This window comes from Homo sapiens, chromosome 19, assembly GCF_000001405.40.
Source record: "Homo sapiens chromosome 19, GRCh38.p14 Primary Assembly".
In the NCBI taxonomy this organism is placed as follows: domain Eukaryota; kingdom Metazoa; phylum Chordata; class Mammalia; order Primates; family Hominidae; genus Homo; species Homo sapiens.
The window spans coordinates 7,423,876-7,444,145 of record NC_000019.10 but is presented as its reverse complement, the minus strand read 5'-3'; the positions used below and the strand labels follow the sequence as shown (position 1 = coordinate 7,444,145).

Genomic DNA, 20,270 nt, shown 5'->3' with positions numbered 1-20,270 from the left:
TCGTGGGTGCTGCCTGCCCTTCACGTGCTGAACTGGCTTCTGAGAGTTCTCTGCCTAAGACCTTGTGCCTTTGGGATCTTTCTTACTTCCAGGGTGTCCAGGGTTTAGAATGCTGCGGGGGATCCCAGCCTGAAGGAGCAGGGGAAGGAGAGAACCCTGGGCCTCCCCATCACGGGAGGGTTTTGCGCCCAGTGTCAACCCAACGGACGACATTTTAAGTCCGTGTTTTTTTTTTTTTCTTTGAGATGGAGTCTTGCTCTGTCGCCCAGGCTGGAGTGCAGTGGCAAAATCTCAGCTCACTGCAACCTCCGCCTCCCGGGTTCAAGCGATTCTCCTGCCTCAGCCTCCCAAGTAGCTGGGATTACAGGTGCACACCACCACGCCTGGCTATCAAGTCTGTTTTAGGAAGAAGAGTGTTCTGAGGAACACTCCTGTGGCTGTTAAAACTCATCCATCACATCTGTGTGTGTCCCTGACCAGACCTAGACTGCAATGAACAAGATGTTTGCGTCCCCCAAAATTCGTATGTCGAAATTCGAACCCCAAAGGTGATAGTATCAGGAGGTACAGCCCTTGGAAGGTGATGAGGTCCTAAGGGGAGAGAACCTCATGGTGGGACTGGTGCCCTTAGGAAAAGGACCTGAGGGCCAAGGGTGGTGGCTCACGTCTGTAATCCCAGCACTCTGGGAGGCCGAGGTGAGCAGATCACATGAGGTCAGGAGTTCGAGACTAGCCTAGCCAACACAGCGAAACCCTGTCTCTACCAAAAAATAAAAAAATGAGCCGGGCATGGCCGGGCATGGTGGCTGACGCCTGTAATCCTAGCATTTTGGGAGGCCAAGGTGGGAGGATCATGAGGTCAGGAGTCCGAGACTAGCCTGACCAACATGGTGAAACACCGCCTCTACTAAAAATACAAAAATTAGCTGGGCGTGGCAGTGGGCGCCTGTAATTCCAGCTATTTGGAAGGCTGAGGCAGGAGAATTGCTTGAACCCGGGAGGTGGAGGTGAGCCGAGATGGAACCACTGCACTCCAGCCTGGGCGACAGAGCGAGACTCCATCTCAAAAAAAAAAAAAAAAAAAAAAAAATTAGCTGGGCATGGTGGCAGGCACTGTCATCTCAGCTACTCGGGAGGCTGAGGCAGGACAATTGCTTGAACCTGGGAGGTGGAGGTTGCAGGGAGCTGAGACTGCATCACTGCATCCAGCCTGGGTGACAGAGTAAGACCCTGTCTCAAAAAAAGAAAAAAGAGGACCTGAGAAAGACCATGAAGACCTTGTGAGGACACAGCCAGATGCCACCAGCAGGAAGCCAGGAAATGGGGCCTTCATGGACACTAAGTCTGCCGCCGCCTTGGTCTTAGACGTCCCAGCCTCTAGAACTGTAAGCAATAAACTTCTGTGGCTTCTAAGCCACCCTGTGTATGGTGTTCTATGAGAGCTGCCTATATAGGCTAAGACAGCCACCAACAAGGGAAGAAGAAGCCAGACCTGGGCATTCAGCCAGACATGTTCACAGGGACGTATTATAACAAAATCCTCTCCGACAGTCTCTTTCCTGGCATGGGAGGCAGGGCTGCACCAAGAGAGGAGAGAGAAAGACAGAGAGAGGCCAGGCACCGTGGCTCACGCCTATAATCCCAATAGTTTGGGAGGCCCAGGCGGGCGGGTCACTTGAGCTCAGGAGATTGAGACCAGCCTGGGCAACATGGTGAGACCCCCAACTCTACAGAAAATAAAAAAATTCGCCAGGTGTAGTGGCCCATGCCTGTGGTCCCAGCTACTAGGGAGGCTGAGGTGGGAGGATTGTTTGAGCCCAGGTCGAGGCTGCAGTGAGCTCTGATTGTCCCACTGTACTCCAGCCTGGGCAATAGAGAGAGACTGTGTCTCAAAAAAGAAAAAAAAGAAAGAAAGAAAGAGAGAAAGAGGACAAAAGAGAGAAGGAAAGAGAGAAAGAAAGAAAGAAAAAGATAAGGAAGGAAGGAAGGAAGGAAGGAAGGAAGGAAGGAAGGAAGGAAGGGAGGGAGGAAGGGAGGGAGCAGAGAAGAGAGTGGAGGGCCGGTGTGATGGCACAGGGCTGTGGACTCCTCACCATAAAGGACATCTTGTCTTTTCACCACCTCCCTCTTTTGCTTCTTGGCGTAGGCTGCATCCACGGCGAGGCTCCAGGACTCAGCTTCAAACTCGTGGCCGTCTGACTCAATCTCACTCCTCAGCGAGGCGGTGTAGGGATCTGAGGGAAGAGCGAGGTGTGGCTGCTGGGGGCCCAGAGCCATGCCACCCCAATTCCCTCCCGTAGACATGCTGACACGAGCCCCAGCTCTTCCCAGGAGAGACAGGAACTGTGTGGCAGCCGCGAGAGAGCGGAGATGACCATACCTTCTACAAAAATGGACTCGGTGTTTGGAGATGTAAGGGACAGAGAGTCATCAGCTGTCTGCTTAAATTTTAAAAACGCAGAATCGGCTTCATCCATCTCTCCTGTGATTGGTCTGAGTGCAAACAATAAAAACAATTGTTTTAGAAAAGTGAATTAAACACACACGACCTCATGCAACAAAGGCACATCGGTGACTCCATCCGATTCGATACTCTCTGAGAACTCTCCACATTTTCACAGAAGCCTCAACTTTGTCTACAGATCATTTTTAAAAATTGGGAGATTTGCCAGGTGCAGTGTCTCACGCCTGTAATCCCAGACTTTGGGAGGCCAAAGCCAGGAGGATCACCTGAGGTCAGGAGTTCGAGACCAGCTCGCCCAACATGGCAAAATCCCGTCTCTGCTAAAAATACAAAAATTAGCCGGGTGTGGTGGCAGGTGCCTGTAATCCCAGCTACTTGGGAGGCTGAGGTAGGGGAATCACTTGAATCTGGGAGGTGGAGGTTGCAGTGAGCTGAGATTGTGCCACTGAACTCCAGCCTGGGCGACAGAGACTCTGTCTAAAGAAAAAAAAAAAAAAGTGGTGGGGGGCGGGGGGTGGGGAAGATTATCTGTCAATGTCACATCAGGATTTCTTCCATAGTAACTTCCTTTAATGTTTAGTTACGTTCTAACGGGGTGTGGATTGCAGCTTCCTTGACAGACCACTGGAGCCCACTTGGGGCCCCTGGGATCCTGTCTACCAGGAGTTAAGTGGAAATGGTTTCATGGTCAAGGTGGGAGGGCAGTCCTTACTCAGAGGAAAATGATAATTTACTCCCTTTCCCACGAACTCATGGAATAGTCACCACAAACATATCAGCTTCTAGCATCACTTTCTACCCGGACACCGCTGCAGGCATTATCAAGGGAACCACTTTGAAGTCCTATAAAACGAGGTAAGGCACAGATAATGGGACGCCGCCTCCACACACCCAGCAGGACTTTGAGCATCGCCTTGAGTAAGTCAGGAGCCCGGCCTAAGGAGCGAGTCCAAGGATCCCTCGAGGGCACTAAGCAAACTGGCTCCACCAGGGGCCGAATACACCCCGGGACACATCGTTTTTGCAAAAAAGGCGTGGATCCTGGAAGCAAGCGTTAATGGGAATTTCTCTGCTTAGCACGGGGGCTGCCGTGTGGATTCACACAGATCTAAGTCGGGGTCTCCCTCCGAAGAGGCTGTCAACAGCTCCCCGGGGAATGCCACCACCCACCCGAGGGCACAGAGGGGACCCTGGCTTACCCGAGTTGCGTCCCAGGGCCAGCCGGGCTCGGTGTTGGCTGGGGACCCCCTTTCTGAGAGACCGTCATACCGACATTCCTGGACAGGGCCGGGCTGCCATCGGACAGGAGGGTGCCCCGGGGGTGCTCCTTGAGCGAGGCTGTGACAGAGGCAAGGACAGAGTTGGTGCTGAGAAAGTGGGTCGGGTAGCGGAGGTCCCCGGCGCGGAAGCCCCGCTCCGACTGCGGCCGCAGCACAGACAGGATCTTGGAGGTCAGCAGCTCGTTATCCAAGAAGACGTTCTCGCTCCATTTCCTGGGGAAAGAGCCGTAAAAAGACAGCTCGGGGCGGCCGGGGAGCGCGCTGTGCCTGTCCCCGCTTTTGGAGTGCGCATTCCCCATGTTCGCGCCCGGGGCTCCGGGACCCGGCGCGGCGCCAGGCTGGGCTGCGCCGTTTTTATGCCTCGGTGGGATCCTTCTAGAAAACAGAGCTGCGTCTTCCCTTGCTGTATTGGCTGAAGCAGCGGGTCTGGAGGGCAGGATATTGGTCCCCACTGTGACCATTTACTGTGGAAATTGCAGTATTTGCTGCTTTGATAGAATAAAACAGAAAAAAAAAACAACCCCTCCAGGCTCTCCCTTGGTCTTTGCAGGGTGTAAAAAGCAAGTGAGCTGTTTGAGTTTGCTGTAAATAGTCTAAGATCATGAAACGGTGAGCCTGGCGTGCTTCATGCCAAAACCTCGCACATGATGATAATTAATCTAGATCAGATGTTAGGGTGACTCTAAGACCCAGAGATGGCAGGGCATGGTGTTTAGCCGCCCCTGGTCATCAGCACTCGAACAGAATTCTAGCATCGAAGTGGACGCGAGGCTCCGATTCTGTTCCATATGGTGATTATAAACCAACCCAACATCAACAGGGGCTGCAAACCGCTGTCTACACCCATCTGTTCATTAATTTAAGGGTTCAGATCATAGGATACGTGTGCCCGCTGACAAGCTCACCTACTCATGGAAAGATGCAACTTTTTAAATTAATTATTATTATTTTTAGAGACAGTCTCACTCTAGCTCAGGCTGGAGTGCAGTGGCCGACCATAGCTCACTGCAGCCTTAAACTCCTAGGTTCAAGCAATCCTTCTGCCTCAGTCTCCTGAGTAGCTGGGACTACAGGTGTGCTGTATAATTTAAAAATATTTTCTTGTAGAGGTTGGGGGGGGGTCTCACTATGTTGCTCAGGCTGGTCTTGAACTCCTGACTTCAAGCGGTCCTCCTGCTTTGGGCCTCCCAAGATGCAACACTTAATAAAGCTCAACTATGGCCGGGTGCGGTGGCTCACGCCTGTAATCTCAGCACTTTGGGAGGCCGAGGTGGGTTGATCACAAGGTCAGGAGTTCAAGACCAGCCTGGCCAGGAAACCCCCGTCTCTACTTAAAAAAAATAAAAAATACAAAATACAAAAATTAGAAGGGCGTGGTGGTGGATGCCTGTAATCTCAGCTACTCGGGAGGCTGAGGCACGGAATCGCTTGAACCCGGGAGTCGGAGGTTGCAGTGAGCGGAGATTGCGCCACTGCACTCCAGCCTGGGCGACAGAGTGAGACTCCGCCTAAAAAATAAACAAATAATAAATAAAGCTCAACCATCATTCATTAGGTTCAGTTTTCCCCTCCTATTTGACAAGCATAGTTGAGATGGGCTACTTGGCTAGTTTACTCTTACATTTTATAAAATTGTATCTTAAAGCTTTGCCCAGGTAAGGACAAAGAGCAGCATTAAAAAGAAATCTGGCGGCCGGACACGGTGGCTCATGCCTGTAATCCCAGCACTTTGGGAGGCCAAGGTGGGTGGATCACCTGAGATGGGGAGTTCAAGACTAGCCTAGCCAACATGGAGAAACCCCATCTCTACTAAAAATACAAAATTAGCCAGGCATGGTGGCACATGCCTGTAAAACCAGCTACTAGGGAGGCTGAGGCAGGAGAATCGTTTGAACCCCGGAGGTGGAGGTTGTGGTGAGCCGAGACCGTGCCACTGCACTCCAGCCTGGGCAACAAGAGTGAAACTCTGTCTCAAAAATAAAAAAAAAAAAAAGAAATCTGGGCCAGACATGGTGGCTCACGCCTGTAATCCTAGCAGTTTGGGAGGTAGAGGTGGAAGGATCGCTTGAGGCCAGGAGTTCAAAACCAGCCTGGGAAACATAGCAAGACCCCGTCTCTACACAAAATAAAAAAATAGCTGAGCACAAGTGGCGCACGCCTGTAGTCTCAGCTACTCGGGAGGCTGAGGCAGTAGGATTGCTTGAGCCCAGGAGTTCAAGGCTGCAGTGAGCTATGATTGTGCCACTGCACTCCAGCCTGGGTGACAGAGCGGGACCTTCTCGAAAAGAAGAGGGGAGGAGAAGGGAGGAGAGGGGAAGGGAGGGGAGGGGAGGGGAGAAGAGAAGAGAGAAGAGAGGAGAGAAGAGGAGAGGGGAAGGGAAGGGAGGGGAGGGGAGGGGAGGGGAGGAGAGAGGAGAGGAGAGGAGCTTAGAGAAGAGAAATAGAAATCTGATTTGTCAGATCAGGTGCAGTGGCTCATGCCTGTAATCCCAGCACTTTGGAAGGCCGACGCGGGTGGATCACCTGAGGTCAGGATTTTGAGACCAGCCTGGCCAACATGATGAAACCCCATCTCTACTAAAAATACAAAATTAGCTGGGCATGGTGGCGGGCACCTGTAATCCCAGCTACTCGGGAGGCTGAGGCAGGAGAATCGCTTGAACCCGGGAGGCAGAGGTTGCCGTGAGCTGACATCATGCCACCGCACTCCAGCCTGAACAACAAAGTGAGACTCCATCTCACAAAAAAAAAGAAAAAAAAAAGAAATCTGATCTGTCCTGTGGCCTCCTGGCTCCTAGGTCCCGATACACCATTGCCTTGTCTATGTTACAGGAAGAGAGCAGCTAGAAGTCTCTTTCTTGGGAACACGGAGTTATAAACCATGGGGTGGGCAGAGCTTACCCTAGGGAAAACGTACTCGCAGCAGCTCTCCTGGGAGAGGATTCAGCATTCTCTGAGCAACTTTTTTTTTTTTTTTTTGAGACGGATTTCCGCTTTTGTTGCCCAGGCTGGAGTGCAATGGCGTGATCTCAGCTCACCGCAACCTCTGCCTCCCAGGTTCAAGCGATTCTCCTGCCTCCCGAGTAGCTGGGATTACAGGCATGTGCCACCACACCCGGCTAATTTTGTATTTTTAGTAGAGACGGAGTTTCTCCATGTTGGTCAGGCTGGTCTCGAACTCCCAACTTCAGGTGATCCACCCACCTCGGCCTCCCTAAGTGCTGGGATTACAGGCTTGAGCCACCGTAGCCGGCCTCTGAGCAACTTTTAATTTAGCTGTAAATTGAAGGTGATTGTTAACGAGCAGGTGAGTGTGTGTTAGAGATTTTCTGGCAGAGGAGTCAAGAATTCTTGCCAATTAAGACATCAGCCACTAAGCTGTGTAACAGCACATTGCACATATACTCAGTAGCTGTTCATTCTTTCCACAGCCCAGCACAGCAAAGATGACATTTGTTCAGAGGCCAGAAACATTCTGACGTCATAACACATGACTAACAATTACTATTGTTATAGGAGACAAAGCAATTGAAGATGTCACTCACAAAGCAACACCTATGTAAAAAAACAGGAATCCTAAACCAAAGGCGACACGGTCCAGGACAGGCATTTCTTGCCATTTCTGTACAACACTCAACTCCACCCAGGCAATTATGACCTAAACGTACAAATATGGCGCAAATCCCGAGATGTATCCTTTGCCCAGCAGCATCCTGGCAGGGCTGACAGATGGTTGCTTGTGGACTGAGGTCTTGACTGAAATCAGATTAATTCTGCTCTAATACAATAGTCCATAGAAGAAAAAGTCACTAAAAATAGCATCTGGCTGGGTGTTGTGGCTCACACCTGTAATCCCAGCACTTTGGGAGGCCGAGCGGGGTGGATCATTTGAGGTCAGGAGTTCAAGACCAGCCTGGCCAACATGGGGAAAACCTGTCTCTACTAAAAATACAAAAATTAGCTTGGCAGTGGTGGTGCACACCTGTAATCACAGCTACTCAGAAGGCTGAGGCAGGAGAATTGCTGGAGCCTGGGAGGCAGAGGTTGTGGTAAGCCGAGATCATGCCACTGCACTCCAGCCTGGGCAGCAGAGTGAGATCCTGTCTTGAAAAAAACTAAAACCAAAAAACCAAACAAAAAAAACAGCATGTAAGCAATGCCAATTCCCAAAATCAAGTTGATGGCAAAAAAAAAAAAAAAAAAAGAAGAAATGCTGATTCCAAAGAATTTTAATAAACTATTGGTAATGCTAAATCTATGGGAATATATGTAAACCCTCCTTTGATGATTTAGAAGACACTGAAGTTTTCACATGTTGGGGTCATGACCAGGGACAGCAGGTTAGAGACCAGTCTGGGCAACACAGTGAGATCTCGTCTCTTAAAAAACAACAACAAAAAATTAGGCAGGCATGTTGGTGTGTGCCAGTAGTTCCAGCTACCTGGGAGGCTGAGGTGGGAAAATTGCTTGAGCCCTGGGGTTCAGGGCTGTGGTGAGCTATGACTGCCCCACTGCACTCCAGCCTGGGTGACAGAGCAAGACTCTGAAAAAGAATGAAATGAAATAGAATAAGAGGTGGACAGTCATAAATTGAGTCTTCCTGGAACACATGCGGCCACTGAAATAGCTGATGGGTCAAGACATGAGTCAGTGGCCCTGCCACAGACCCGCTGTATTGATTATGTCCTTTTATTCCGGATTTGTGATGCTCTGACATCTTGGGGCTTTGCTGACCATGGATGCACAGCCCCTCCCAGGCCAGTTTCTAGAGACAGTAAAGGGTCTGCACCCAGTGCAGAGCTCAGACCCCCAGTTGCCTCCTTTATGGGGCTCTCACACTCCTGGCCACGGTCCCGCTGCCCTCATCACCTCGGGGCCCCATCCTGAACCTGCTCACCCTGCCTGGCCCATTTGTTCCCCGGGAAACCACAATGAAGACTCCTGTCCATATTTTCCCCTCTGTCCCTCAACTGACCCTGGTGCTTCCCCATGTGGCCCCTGTGTGGTGTGCCCTGCCTCCTGCTTCCAGAGGACTGTGAATATAAACTTCTTCCTTCCTGACGGTCATTTCTGGGTCTGTGAGTCTCACCATACTGGGTTAAGACAAATCCTGGGTACCCTAAAACACCAGCTGCCCAGAGGCCAGAAGTCTGCTTGCCAGGGATGGGAGAGCCTCAGATCTTCTGACGCCTTTTTTTTTTTGAGATGGAGTCTCGCTCTGTCACTCAGGCTGGAAAACAGTGAGGGTGATCTCGGCTCACTGCAACCTCCACCTCCCAGGTTCAAGTCATTCTGCCTCAGCCTCCCGAGTAGCTGGGATTACAGGTGCCTGCCACCACGCCCAGCTAATTTTTGTATTTTTAGTAGAGATGGGGTTTTGCCACATTGGCTAAGCTGGTCTCAAACTCTTGACCGCAGGTGATCCGCCCGCCTTGGCCTCCCAAAGTGCTGGGATTACAGGCGTGAGCCACTGCGCCTGGCCTATGGTGTTTCTTTTTGGGGTTCTAAGATCCATTTCGGTGACTCTGAATATACTAAAAGCCCCTGGGTTGTACTCTTAAATGGGTGCATTGTATGGTCTGTGAATTACGTCTCAATAAACCTGCTCAACCAACAAACTCACACCTGTGATGGACAGGCTTCTTTCTGTGGGAGGAGAGCAAAACATCTGATTTGCAGCTCAACATATGGTGGGAATTAGTCGCTCTGCTCTTGGCTCCGAGAGAGACAGGGATACATATTTATCTCCTGCTACGGTTTTTCCTACAGCAGACGGCCATGGTGCTTGGGGTTCAGCTTGTGCTGTCCAGCACTTTCTGTGCAGCTGCAAAAGCTACTCAGAGTCTAATTAGCGCCTCCTGCCCACTGCTGAGAGGTGCGATCGATTAGTGAGCACCTGGCCCGCTGTGGCCACTGTATGCCGCAGAGCTCTTTCTGCAAGGGGACCTGGAGGATGGATGGAAAGAGGTGAACGGTGAAAATCAAAACAGTTCTGACCTGAGGGGGAAAAAATATACCCTATTCTCAGCAACAAACACAGACAGTGGCCTATCCTCAGGGTGATTTTTAAAAGTTGGTTTTGTCTTGGTTTCATGAATTCAAGAGTAGTCCCTGGCCAGGCACAGTGGCTCATGCCTGTAATCCCAGCACTTCGGGAGGCTGAGGTGGGAGGATCGCTTGAGGCTAGGTGTTCGAGACCAGCCTGGGCAACATAGACCCTGTCTCTATAAATTTTTTGTTTTTTTAAAAAACACTAAAACAAGAGCAATCTCTGAGCAAGTTAGATGACAAAGCTTTCGTAACAGGTGTCAGGATCCCACCTGCATTACTTTACTGGGACAAAAGACTCCATACTTTTTTTTTCTTTTTTTTTTTTTTTTTAATGAGACAGATCTCACTCTGTCGCCCAGGTTGGAGTGCAGTGGTGTGATGTCAGTTCACTGCAACCTCCGCCTCCTAGGTTCAAGTGATTCTCCTGCCTCAGCCCCTCGAGTAGCTGGAATTACAGGTGCCTGCCACCATGCCTGGCTATTTTTGTATTTTTAGTAGAGATAGGGTTTCTCCACGTTGGCCAAGCTGGTCTCAAACTCCTGGCCTCAAGTGATTCGCCTGCCTCGGCCTTCCAAAGTGTTGGGATTACAGGCCTGAGCCACCGCACCCAGCCTAAGACCCCAGACTTTTTCCAGTGCCGCTGTGCTTCCTTTGTGACTCAGTCTCTCATAAATCCTGTAAGCCACAGGCTTTGTCCTCTGACAGCCAAGCACACTCCTTATTAGGTCTTACAGGAACAGGACTCACCAAAAATTACATGAAAACGGCTGAGTAGTTACTAGCCTGTTCAAAGTGATGTCCAAGAAAACCTGATACACTTTTTTTTTTTTTTTTTTTTTTTTTGGAGACGGAGTCTTGCTCTGTCACCCAGGCTGGAATGCAGTGGCATGATCTTGGCTCACTGCAACCTCCGCCTCCCTGCAGTGGTGCAATCTTGGCTCACTGCAACCCCGCCTCCTGGGTTCAAGTGATTCTCCTGCCTCAGCCTCCCGAGTAGCTGGGACTACAGGTGTGTCCAACCACACCCAGCTAATTTTTGTATTTTTAGTAGAGACGGGGTTTCACTATGTTGGCCAGGCTGGTCTCAAACTCCTGACCTCAGGTGATCCACCCGCCTTGGCCTCCCAAAGTGCTGGGATTACAGGTGTGAGCCACCGTGCCCGGCCTGCCTTCTTTTTTTTTTTTAAAGAGAGACACATTCTCGCTCCATCATCTAGGCTAGAGTACAGTGGCATGATCACAGCTCACTGAAGCCTCCAATTCCTGGGCTCAAGGGATCCTCCAGCCTCAGCCTCCTGAGTAGCTAGGATTACAGGTGTGTGATACCATGCCCAGCTAATTTAAAATTTTTCTGTAGCAACGGGGGTCTCATTATGTCGCCCAGGCTGGTCTTGAATACCTAGCCTTAAGTGATCCTCCCGCTTCGACTTCCCAAAGTGCTGGGATTATAGGCATGGGCCAGTGTACCCGGACCTGATATGACATATTAAGTGACTGTCTTAATTGGTTTCAAACTGTCCTTTATAAATAATCTAGAGGCACACTGACTTCCAGAAATGCCAATTTGTAAGCAAGAATTGCCTGTCTTAAATTGCAGATTCCTATATAGCCTCTCACTTGTAAAGGGACCCCAAACATCTTTTGAAGGCAGCTGGGCCCTAGTCCATAAGTCTCCAGTTTTCTGCAAAGGACTATTCAAGAAACAAACAGGGCTGGGAGTGGTGGCTCAAGTCTGTAATCTGAGTACTTTGGGAGGCTGAGGCAGGAGGATCCCTTGAGCCCAGCAGGTCGAGACTGCAGTGAGCTATGATGGCACCACTGTATTCCAGCCTGGGCGACGTAGTGAGACCCTGTCTCTGAACAAAACAAAAACAAAAAGAAAGAAACAAGTGAACCAGACAAGCACCTCGGTTTCAAGGCCTGGTCTCAGAAATAATGACTCCTTTTCTCACATTTAGGGAGGTTTTCTGTCCCCACCCATCCTTCTGTTCTTTGTTTCAGCCAAGACTTTTCTTTTAGGCTGAGAGTGCAACCTGGCTCTAGAGAGTTCTAGCAAGCACTGGCTTACTGGTGAGTGTTCGAGAGACAATTAAAGAAAATCTGATGCCAGATGAAGTTTTCAGTTCACAGTTCCTGCCTTTTCGGCCACCTGGGAATAGACTAAATCGATGAGAAGATGACTTCATTGATTTCTCTTTCTTGCCTCATTTTGATGTTACACAAGCAAGACAGTATTAAAAAGAATAAAAAGGTAGGAGGAAGAAAAAAACCCCTTCATCCCGCACCTCAGGGGACAAAGAAAAATTAAAAAAGACATCTTGCAGCTTAGAAGGTAAGTATGACTCAGAATATTCTTCCCAAACCTGGTACTATCCAAAAACAAAAAACAAAACGAAAAGCCTCCTACCCCAAACTACACGTCAAACCCCCAAAATACCATTTAAAAAAATGTGGTAATTCGTAGCAACAGGTACTATTTATTGAGTGCTTCTTGCATTCCAGGCTGTGTCCTGAGGACTTAGTATTTCTTTTGTTTGAGCTGGAGTTTCGCTCTTGTTGCCCAGGCTGGAGCACAATGGCGCAATCTCGGCTCACCGCAACCTCCGCCTCCTGGGTTCAAGCGATTCTTCTGCCTCAGCCTCCCGAGTAGCTGGGATTACAGGCATGCGCCGCCACGCCCGCTAATTTTGTATTTTTAGTAGAGACGGGGTTTCGCCATGTTGGTCAGGCTGGTCTCAAACTCCCGACCTCAGGTGATCCACCCGCCTTGGACTCCCAAAGTGCTGGGATTAAAGGCGTGAGCCACTGAGCCCGGCCTTTTTTTTTTTTTTTTTTTTTTTGAGATGGAGTCTCACTCTGTCGTCCAGGCTGGAGTGCAGTGGCACGATCTTGACTCACTGCAACCTCCGCCTCCCAAGCGATTCCCCTGCCTCAACCTCCTGAGTAGCTGGGATTATGGCCGCCCACATCCATGCCCAGCTAATTTTTATATTTTTAGTAGAGACGGGGTTTTACCATGTTGGCCAGGCTGGTTTCGAATGCCTGACCTCAAGTGATCCGCCCACCTCGGCCTCTCAAAGTGCCAGGATTACAGGGGTGAGCCACCGTGCCCGGCCTCACTTAATATTTCTTAAGTCCTGCAGTCCTCACAATGACTCAAAAGTAGGTACTACTGTTATTTTATCTTTTTATGTTTTGAAACAGGGTCTCACTCTGTCGCCCTGGCTATAGTACACAGGCACGATCACGGCTCACTGCAGCCTCAACCTCCTTGTCTCGAGTGATCCTCCCACCTCAGCCTCCCGAATAGCTGGGACCATAGGTGTGTGCTATCACACCTGGCTAATTTAGAGATGGGATCTGGCTATGTTGCAAAGGCTGGTCTCGAACTCCTGGACTCAAGTGATGCTTTTGCCTTGGCCTCCCAAAGTGCTGGAGTTCATTTTTGTTATGAAGTATAACATTTAGGTTGAGGATGGTTGGTATATTTATTTATTGTCTATGGATGTGGGCATTATTGTTCTATTTTATTTACTTATTTATTTGAAGAGAGGGTCTCGCTCTGTCACCCAGGCTGGAGTACAGTGGCACAGACTTAGCTTACCGCAGTTACGAATTCCTGGGCTCAAGCAGTCCTCTGGCCTCAGCTTCCCAAGTGGCTGGGACTATAGGCGCATACCACCATGCCCAGCTAATTTTTTAGATATTTTTATAGAGATAGGGTCTCCCTATGTTACCAAGGCTGATCTCGAACTCCAGGCTTTAGCTGTCCTCCCACCTCAGCCTCCCAAAGTGCTGCGATTACAGGCAACACCATGCCTGGCCTGTGTTAATTTTGGGAGCTGTGTATTTGGGTACAGTGGCTCATGCCTGTAATTCCAGCACTTTGCAGGGCTGAGGCGGGAGGATCACTTAAGGTCAAGAGTTTGAGGCCAGCCTGGCCAACATGGTGAGACTTCATCTGTCAAAAAAAAAAAAAAAATTAGCCAGGCATGGTAGTGTATGCCTGTAGTCCTGAGCACTCGGGAGGCTGAGGCAGAAGGATCGCTTGAGCCTGGGACCTTGAGGCTGCAGTGAGCCATGATCATGCCACTGCACTCCAGCCTGGGTGACAGAGCCGGCCTTCATTTCTTTTAAAGAAAAATAAAAAATGACAGGGAAGTATCTCAAAAGTTAAATCCACCAAGTGCAATGTGGGAGCCTGAGCTGGATTCTGGAGCAGAAAAATAGGTGAAATTTGGATAAAGCCTGGGAGTTTAGTCATCAGTTATTAATGTGCGGGGAAACTGGGTGTGGGTACCATGAATATTCTCTTTTCTATCTATGCAATTTTTCTGTAAACTGAAAATTATTCCCAAGCAATAGTTTCCTTAAAAAAAAAAAAAGTATATTGAGGCACAAGTCGATTTAAAAAAAAAAAGTACTTCCAGGATGCACTGAGGCTTGTTAAACACAGCAGAGATTTTGCTAAGGCATATGCACGGGAGCGCTCTGATTTAAGAAAGAACCAGAACTCACTGGCCAGGAGACAGCACCCTCTCCGTGGCATGCATGCCACTGCCCTCTGGGCCCCTCTTGTGGGATCTTCTAGAGCCTCCTCTTATGGGTGTGGGCCCTCTCTCTGTGCCAGGGACATGAGCCCCAGCTTGGGGGGCGTCTGTGGGATGATGACTTCTCTTGCACCCTGAAATCCAATCGGCCACAGTTCTGCCTTCTGCCTGTTTATTTTTATTTATTTATTTATTTTTGAGACGGAGTCTCACTCTGTTGCCCAGGCTGGAGTGCAGTGGTGTGATCTCAGCTCACTGCAACCTCCGCCTCCCGGGTTCAAGCAATTCTCCCGCCTAAGCCTCCCGAGTAGCTGGGATTACAGGCGCCTGCCACCACACCTAGGTAATTTTGGTATTTTTAGTAGAGATGAGGTTTCACCACGTTGGCCAAGCTGGTCTCAAAAGCCTGACCTCAAGTGATCTGCCTGCCTTGGCCTCCTAAAGTGCTGGGATTACAGGCATGAGCCGCCACACCTGGCCTTCTGTTTAACGGGCTTTGGGGCTGCCCACTGGTCACTTAGCCCAGGCTGAGATCGCCGTGGGTGGCTGCCCATCCAGACTCACCCATTCTCATCCCGCCCCATCTACAGGGTCCAGACCCTCTCTGGCCTCACCTCTTGCCACATTTTGTACCCTATACCCCAACTACGCTGACATGCCATACCAGGGGGGAGCCTCAGAGCCCCCGGCCCCTCGACTCAAGGCGTCTCTCTTATCTGGCCAGCTGTGGGGCCGGGTCAGAGTCCTTCTGCATGGCGTGCCCCTGCCCTCGGGCCCGTGGCCTAGGCCTGCGGGCTTCCTTTACAGCTCACCACACTCCCGACTTTATTGCACAGCCTCGCTGCACCTTGACCTCCCTGGGAGCAAGGGTCAGGTGCTGTTCATCTCCAGGCACTGGTGTCACATCAGATCTACGTGCTCAGCCCATTGCGGCACGAGCACACAGCCATGCAGGCTACCACGGCCCTGTGGCGAAGGATGCAGTCGGGCAGGGCGGGGAGCACAGTTAGGAGAGAGATCAGGGAGGGCACCCAAAGGTTCGACCTGCAGGGGCCCAGGGTAATCTCTTTCTTGGCCATTTCACTTTCGTTTTTTCGACACAGTTTCACTCTGTTGCCCAGGCTGGAGTGCAGTGGCGTGGTCATAGCTCGCTGCAGCCTCCCACTCCTGGGCTCAAGTGATCCTCCTGCCTCAGCCTTCTGAACCATTAAAGACAACAGCCACCTTCAGGGCCATTATCTTTGGTGGGATTTTAAGTTCCACTTAAAAAAAAAAATCTCTTCAGAAGGCCAAGGTGGGAAGATCACTGGAGGCCAGGAGTTCGAGGCTACAGTGAGCTATGATCGCACCACTGCACTCCAGCTTGAGAGAAGTGAGAGTCCATTTCAGAAGAAAGAAAATCTCCATGCAACAGGCCGTGGGCTCACCAGGTTCTGCTGGAAGGTGAAGGAAGGCCATAGCCAGGAAGCAAGTGGGCGCCTGGCCCGACAGATGGGAACACAAACTACCTCGCAAAGCCAAGGGTTACTTACCCAAGAAAATTGAGTTAAAAACTGCCTGAAAAAATGCATTTTAAGCACTGCTATTTCTTAAGTGGAATTGTATGACTCTTCGACTTAGCTACCACCCACCCCCATTCAGTTTCACATAAACATGAAAATCCTTACACATTCTCAACATGACCGCAGGAATTAACTGTTGAGCTACTTTCTGGTTTTATCATCTTATTCTTCTTACTGTTTATTTAAGTTCTGTACATGTTTGCCCAGAGATTTGACTCTGTTACTCTTATTCTATTCCTTTAAAAGAGAGGTGATTTTCATTTTTTTCTCTCCCTCTTTTTCTTTTTTCTTTTTTGAGACAGAGTCTCACTCTGTCATCCAGGCTGGAGTACAGTGGCACGATCTTGGCTCACTGCAGACTGCCTCCCAGATTCGACCAATTCTTGTGCTTCGGCCTCCCAAGTAGCTGGGATTACAGGCGTGTGCCAACACACCTGGCTAATTTTTGTATTTTTAGTAGAGACAGGGTTTCACCATGTTTCTCAGGCTGGTGTTGAATTCCTGAGCTCAAGAAATCTGCCTGCCTCAGCCTCCCAAAGTGCTGGGGTTACAGGTGTGAGCCACTGCGCCCGGCCTTCTTTTTTTTTTTTTTTAGAGACAGGGTCTCCCTCTGTCATCCAGGTTGGAGTGCAGTGGCGTGATCATAGCTCACTGCAGCCTTGACCTCCTGGGCTCCAGTGATCCTCCCACCTCAACCTCCCAAGTAGCTGGAACTACAGGCAGACACTCCCACACTCGGCTGATTTTTGTATTTTCTGTAGAGACACGGTCTTGCTATGTTGCCCAGGCAGATCTTGAACTCCTTCCTGCGCTCAGGCAATCCTCCCACCTCGGCCTCCCAAAGTGCTGGGATTACAGGCGAGAGCCACCATGCCTGGCCAAGACAGCCCTTTTTTTCTGGACAATGCCTGGACACATGAAGCCCACAGACATCCCCCCTCCAGGGTACTGGGTAGACACACTTGCCGTTGGGCCCACCTTGCGAAAGTGAGGCAGCTGGGGCAACATTTGACCTCAGTGAGACTCATTTCTTCACTGGGGGCTCTCCAGGAGCCTGCGGTGAATTGGGCCCTAAAACATCCTGTGTGCGCCTTTCCTGGCAGGTTCTGCGACAGCAAAAAGGCCAGATGGAACCACATTCTTGCCTGCAGTGGGGGTTCTGGGTTTTCCCCACCTCGAGCTTACGAGAGGGAAAAAGGAGGCCAGGGTCACCTCTAACCCCAAAGTGCCTGACCTCGGCTCCTCCACCCCAAGAATTCAAACTTAACTTTCTCTGAGACTCAGAAGGCTCTGTAGAACCTTTCAACACGGCGAGGTGACCTATGATTTTAGAATATTTGACAGCATAACTAAGAACTCAAGAGTCCACAGTGAGAAACTGCATTCTCCATGGAAACCAATCGACGCCACTTTTCCTCCTGGGACCAGTCTCGTCCTAAAAGTAAGGGATGCTTCACAGTACAAAACACACTTGCTGCTAGCTGGAAATATCCACATCCTAAGGCCTTTATCCTGGTGGAAGCATTCCATTCTGAGCAAACGTTCTCTCAGCCACGGCAGCGGCATTTCTGTGACATAGGAAAATACTACGTGATTTTGCATAAGGGGAAAACTGAGGTGGAGGTGGGAAAGGCAGGCAGAGAGCTAGATTCTGGTGCCCAAATCACTAGACGTCGATTAGGTGTCTGGTGTACTACCTAAGAGTAAATTCTCATCATTCTTTGGTGCTTTTTTTCTTTTTTTTTTTTTTTTGAGACAGAGTCTCACTTTGTCGCCCAGGCTGGAGTGTGCTGGCGCAATCTCAGCTCACTGCAACCTCTGCCTCCCAGGTTCAAGCAATTATCCTGCCTCAGCCTCCTGAGTAGCCGGGACGACAGGCACGTTCCACCACGCCCGGCTAATTTTTCTATTTTTAGTAGAGACAGGTTTCATCATGTTGGCCAGGCTGGTCTCCAACTCCTAACCTCAGGTGATCCACCCGCCTCAGCCTCCCAAAGTGTTGGGATTACAGGCATGAGCCACCGCGCCCAGGTTATTCTTTGCTGCTTTTTTTCTTTTTTGAGACAGGGTCTTGCTCTGTTGACCAGGTTAGAGTGCAGTGGTGCAGTCATGGCTCACCACAGTCTCCAACTGCTAGGCTCTAGCCATCCTCCTGCCTCAGCCTCCCAAGTAGCTGGGACTATAGGCATGTGCCACCAAGCCTGGCTAATTTCCTATTTTCTTATTTTATTTTATTTTTGAGACAGGGTCTCACTCTGTTGCCCAGGCTGGAGTGCAGTGGTGCATTCATAGGTCACTGTAGCCTCGAACTCCTGAGTTCAAACAATCCTCCTGCCTCAGCCTCCTGAGTAGCTGGGACTACGGGCACACACCAATATGTCTGGCTAATTTTTATGTTTTTTGTAGAGACAGGGTGTTGCTATGTTGCCCAGGCTGGTCTTGAACTCCTAACCTCAAGCGATTCTCCTGCCTTGGTCTCCCAAAGTGCTGAGATTACAGGCATGAGCCACTGTGCCCGGCCTCTCATAATTCTTAATAAGCTTTTTTTTTTTTTTTTGAGACGGAGTCTCACTCTGTCACCCGGGCTGGAGTGCAGTGGCGCTATCTCAGCTCACTGCAACGTCCACCTCCCAGGTTCAAGCAATTCTCCTGCCTCAGTCTCCTGAGTAGCTGGGATTACAGGCACCCGCCACCATGCCTGGCTAATTTTTGTATTTTTAGTAGAGACGGGGTGTCACCATGTTGGCCAGGCTGGTCTTGAACTCCTGACCTCGTGATCCGCCCGCCTCACCCTCTCCAATTGCTGGGATTACAGGCGTGAACCACTGTGCCCGGCCCATTCTTAATAAGCTTTAACTTCAAAAGTTTGTTTTTTTTGTGGGGAAGTAGGGGGAGACCCCCACCTTTTTTCCATTGATGTAGAACGCATTTCTCTAAATGTGTAAGACCAAGCCAGAGCCCTACTCTTGTTTAATGAAGATAAGAACTAAGGTAAACTGCTATAGGTGAGTCACCTTAGGGGCATTAGAAAAAAAAAGGGCGGAACAAAGTGGAACATTCTTGGGCATAAAACCAGTTGGCTGCATGTCATGGTCTTAAAAAAGTACAAATGTGGTACAAACTCTTCATCTGCAAAGATTCCTGGCTGATAAGAAATGGCTCTCGGGAAATACTGATAAGGGCTCATGAAGAAATATCACCTATAGCACTGTTACCTGAATTTGAGCCTTTTTTTTTTTTTTCCCCGAGACGTAGTCTCACTCTGTCACCAGGCTGGAGTGCAGTGGCGTGATCTCGGCTCACTGCAACCTCTGCCTCCCGGGTTCCAGCGATTCTCCTGCCTCAGCCACCCAAGTAGCTGGGATTACAGGCACCTGCCACCATGCCTGGCAAATTTTTGTATTTTTAGTAGAGATGAGGTTTCACCATGTTGGCCAGGATGGTCCCGATCTCCTGAACTCGTGATCCGCCCGCCTCGGCCTCCCAAAGTGCTGGGATTACAGGCGTGAGCCACCGCGCCCAGTCTAAATTTGAGCCTTCTTAATGAATAGTACAAGAGTGAACTAAAATTTAAAATTAAATTAAAATCGACCAGCACTCTTACCATCACTTACAAATGTCTCTGTGCCCCCATCTTTATTGACACGGGTGTACATGTTCAGTTATAGTTGCAGGGAACACACAAGTATTTCACGTTGCTATAGACTTTGTAAGTATCGCTTTAATCGTTTCCCTGCTGTTAGACATTCGAGGCATTCCAATTTCATACAAGAGCCTCCGTGAGACGAGATTTTGGACGCAAAGGTTACAAATCCTTTCTGATGTTTAGACTTGCATTACCAAATTGCTTTTCCCAAGGACTTTGCTAATAAGTGTAACCTTGCAAGAAAATCTAGCTCAAGAAAGAAACTCCGGCCTGGGGTGGTGGCTCATGCTTGTAATCCCAGCACTCTGGGAGGCTGAGACAGGCGGATCACCTGAGGTCGGGAGTTCGAGACCAGCCTGACCAACATGGAGAAACCCTTTCTCTACTAAATATACAAAATTAGCCGGGCGTGGTGGTGGGCGCCTGTAATCCCAGCTACTCGGGAGGCTGAGGCAGGAGAATCGCTTGAACCCGGGAGGTGGAGGTTGCGGTCAGCCGAGATCACGCCATTGCACTGTCCAGCCTGGGCAAAAATAGCAAAACTCCATCTCAGAAATAAATAAATAAGTAAATAACATAAAAACCTCAAAGTGGAGGGCCACCATTTTTGATGCCACCCCAAATCAATAGTGTGTCAGTTTTCACATGGCTTGCTTCTATGAGATCCACTTCTGGGTTCACTTCTACTAGAGCCACTAGAACACACAGCTCGCTTCT

The 20,270-nt window shown here is 49.8% G+C and overlaps 1 protein-coding gene across 15 annotated transcripts in view, besides 5 other annotated features; it reads right to left on the bottom strand.

Moving 5' to 3' along the window:
• The window catches only part of ARHGEF18 (Rho/Rac guanine nucleotide exchange factor 18), a 131,053-nt gene that overhangs the window by 35,844 nt on the left and 74,939 nt on the right, over nucleotides 1-20,270 (bottom strand). For 12 of the 15 annotated variants that reach the window (XR_007066705.1, XR_007066706.1, XM_006722706.4 and 9 more), the window contains 3 exons: nucleotides 3,664-3,802; nucleotides 2,381-2,493; nucleotides 2,094-2,234 (listed from right to left, as the gene is read on the bottom strand). Coding sequence is in view for 13 of the 15 variants with exons in the window: in XM_006722706.4 (XP_006722769.1) it covers nucleotides 2,094-2,234; nucleotides 2,381-2,493; nucleotides 3,664-3,802 (393 nt within the window). In the remaining 2 variants the exon portion in view is untranslated. Of the gene's footprint in view, nucleotides 1-2,093; nucleotides 2,235-2,380; nucleotides 2,494-3,663; nucleotides 4,459-6,645; nucleotides 6,720-20,270 lie in introns of those variants that run through there. The other 3 variants (XM_047438528.1, NM_001367824.1, NM_001130955.2) reach the window with 3 other exon arrangements.
• Nucleotides 7,722-7,909: a silencer, noted in NCBI's record as "fragment chr19:7501123-7501310 (GRCh37/hg19 assembly coordinates)". NCBI's record gives its function as "represses an EF-1alpha promoter that drives an FKBP-Casp9 reporter gene in an ReSE screen in K562 erythroleukemia cells {active_cell/tissue: K562}" and the evidence as "EXISTENCE:reporter gene assay evidence [ECO:0000049][PMID:32094911]".
• Nucleotides 15,205-15,384: an enhancer, noted in NCBI's record as "active region_13886". NCBI's record gives its function as "activates an Ori minimal core promoter by ATAC-STARR-seq in GM12878 lymphoblastoid cells {active_cell/tissue: GM12878}" and the evidence as "EXISTENCE:reporter gene assay evidence [ECO:0000049][PMID:35858748]".
• Nucleotides 15,405-15,514: an enhancer, noted in NCBI's record as "active region_13885". NCBI's record gives its function as "activates an Ori minimal core promoter by ATAC-STARR-seq in GM12878 lymphoblastoid cells {active_cell/tissue: GM12878}" and the evidence as "EXISTENCE:reporter gene assay evidence [ECO:0000049][PMID:35858748]".
• Nucleotides 15,965-16,014: an enhancer, noted in NCBI's record as "active region_13884". NCBI's record gives its function as "activates an Ori minimal core promoter by ATAC-STARR-seq in GM12878 lymphoblastoid cells {active_cell/tissue: GM12878}" and the evidence as "EXISTENCE:reporter gene assay evidence [ECO:0000049][PMID:35858748]".
• Nucleotides 17,155-17,234: an enhancer, noted in NCBI's record as "active region_13883". NCBI's record gives its function as "activates an Ori minimal core promoter by ATAC-STARR-seq in GM12878 lymphoblastoid cells {active_cell/tissue: GM12878}" and the evidence as "EXISTENCE:reporter gene assay evidence [ECO:0000049][PMID:35858748]".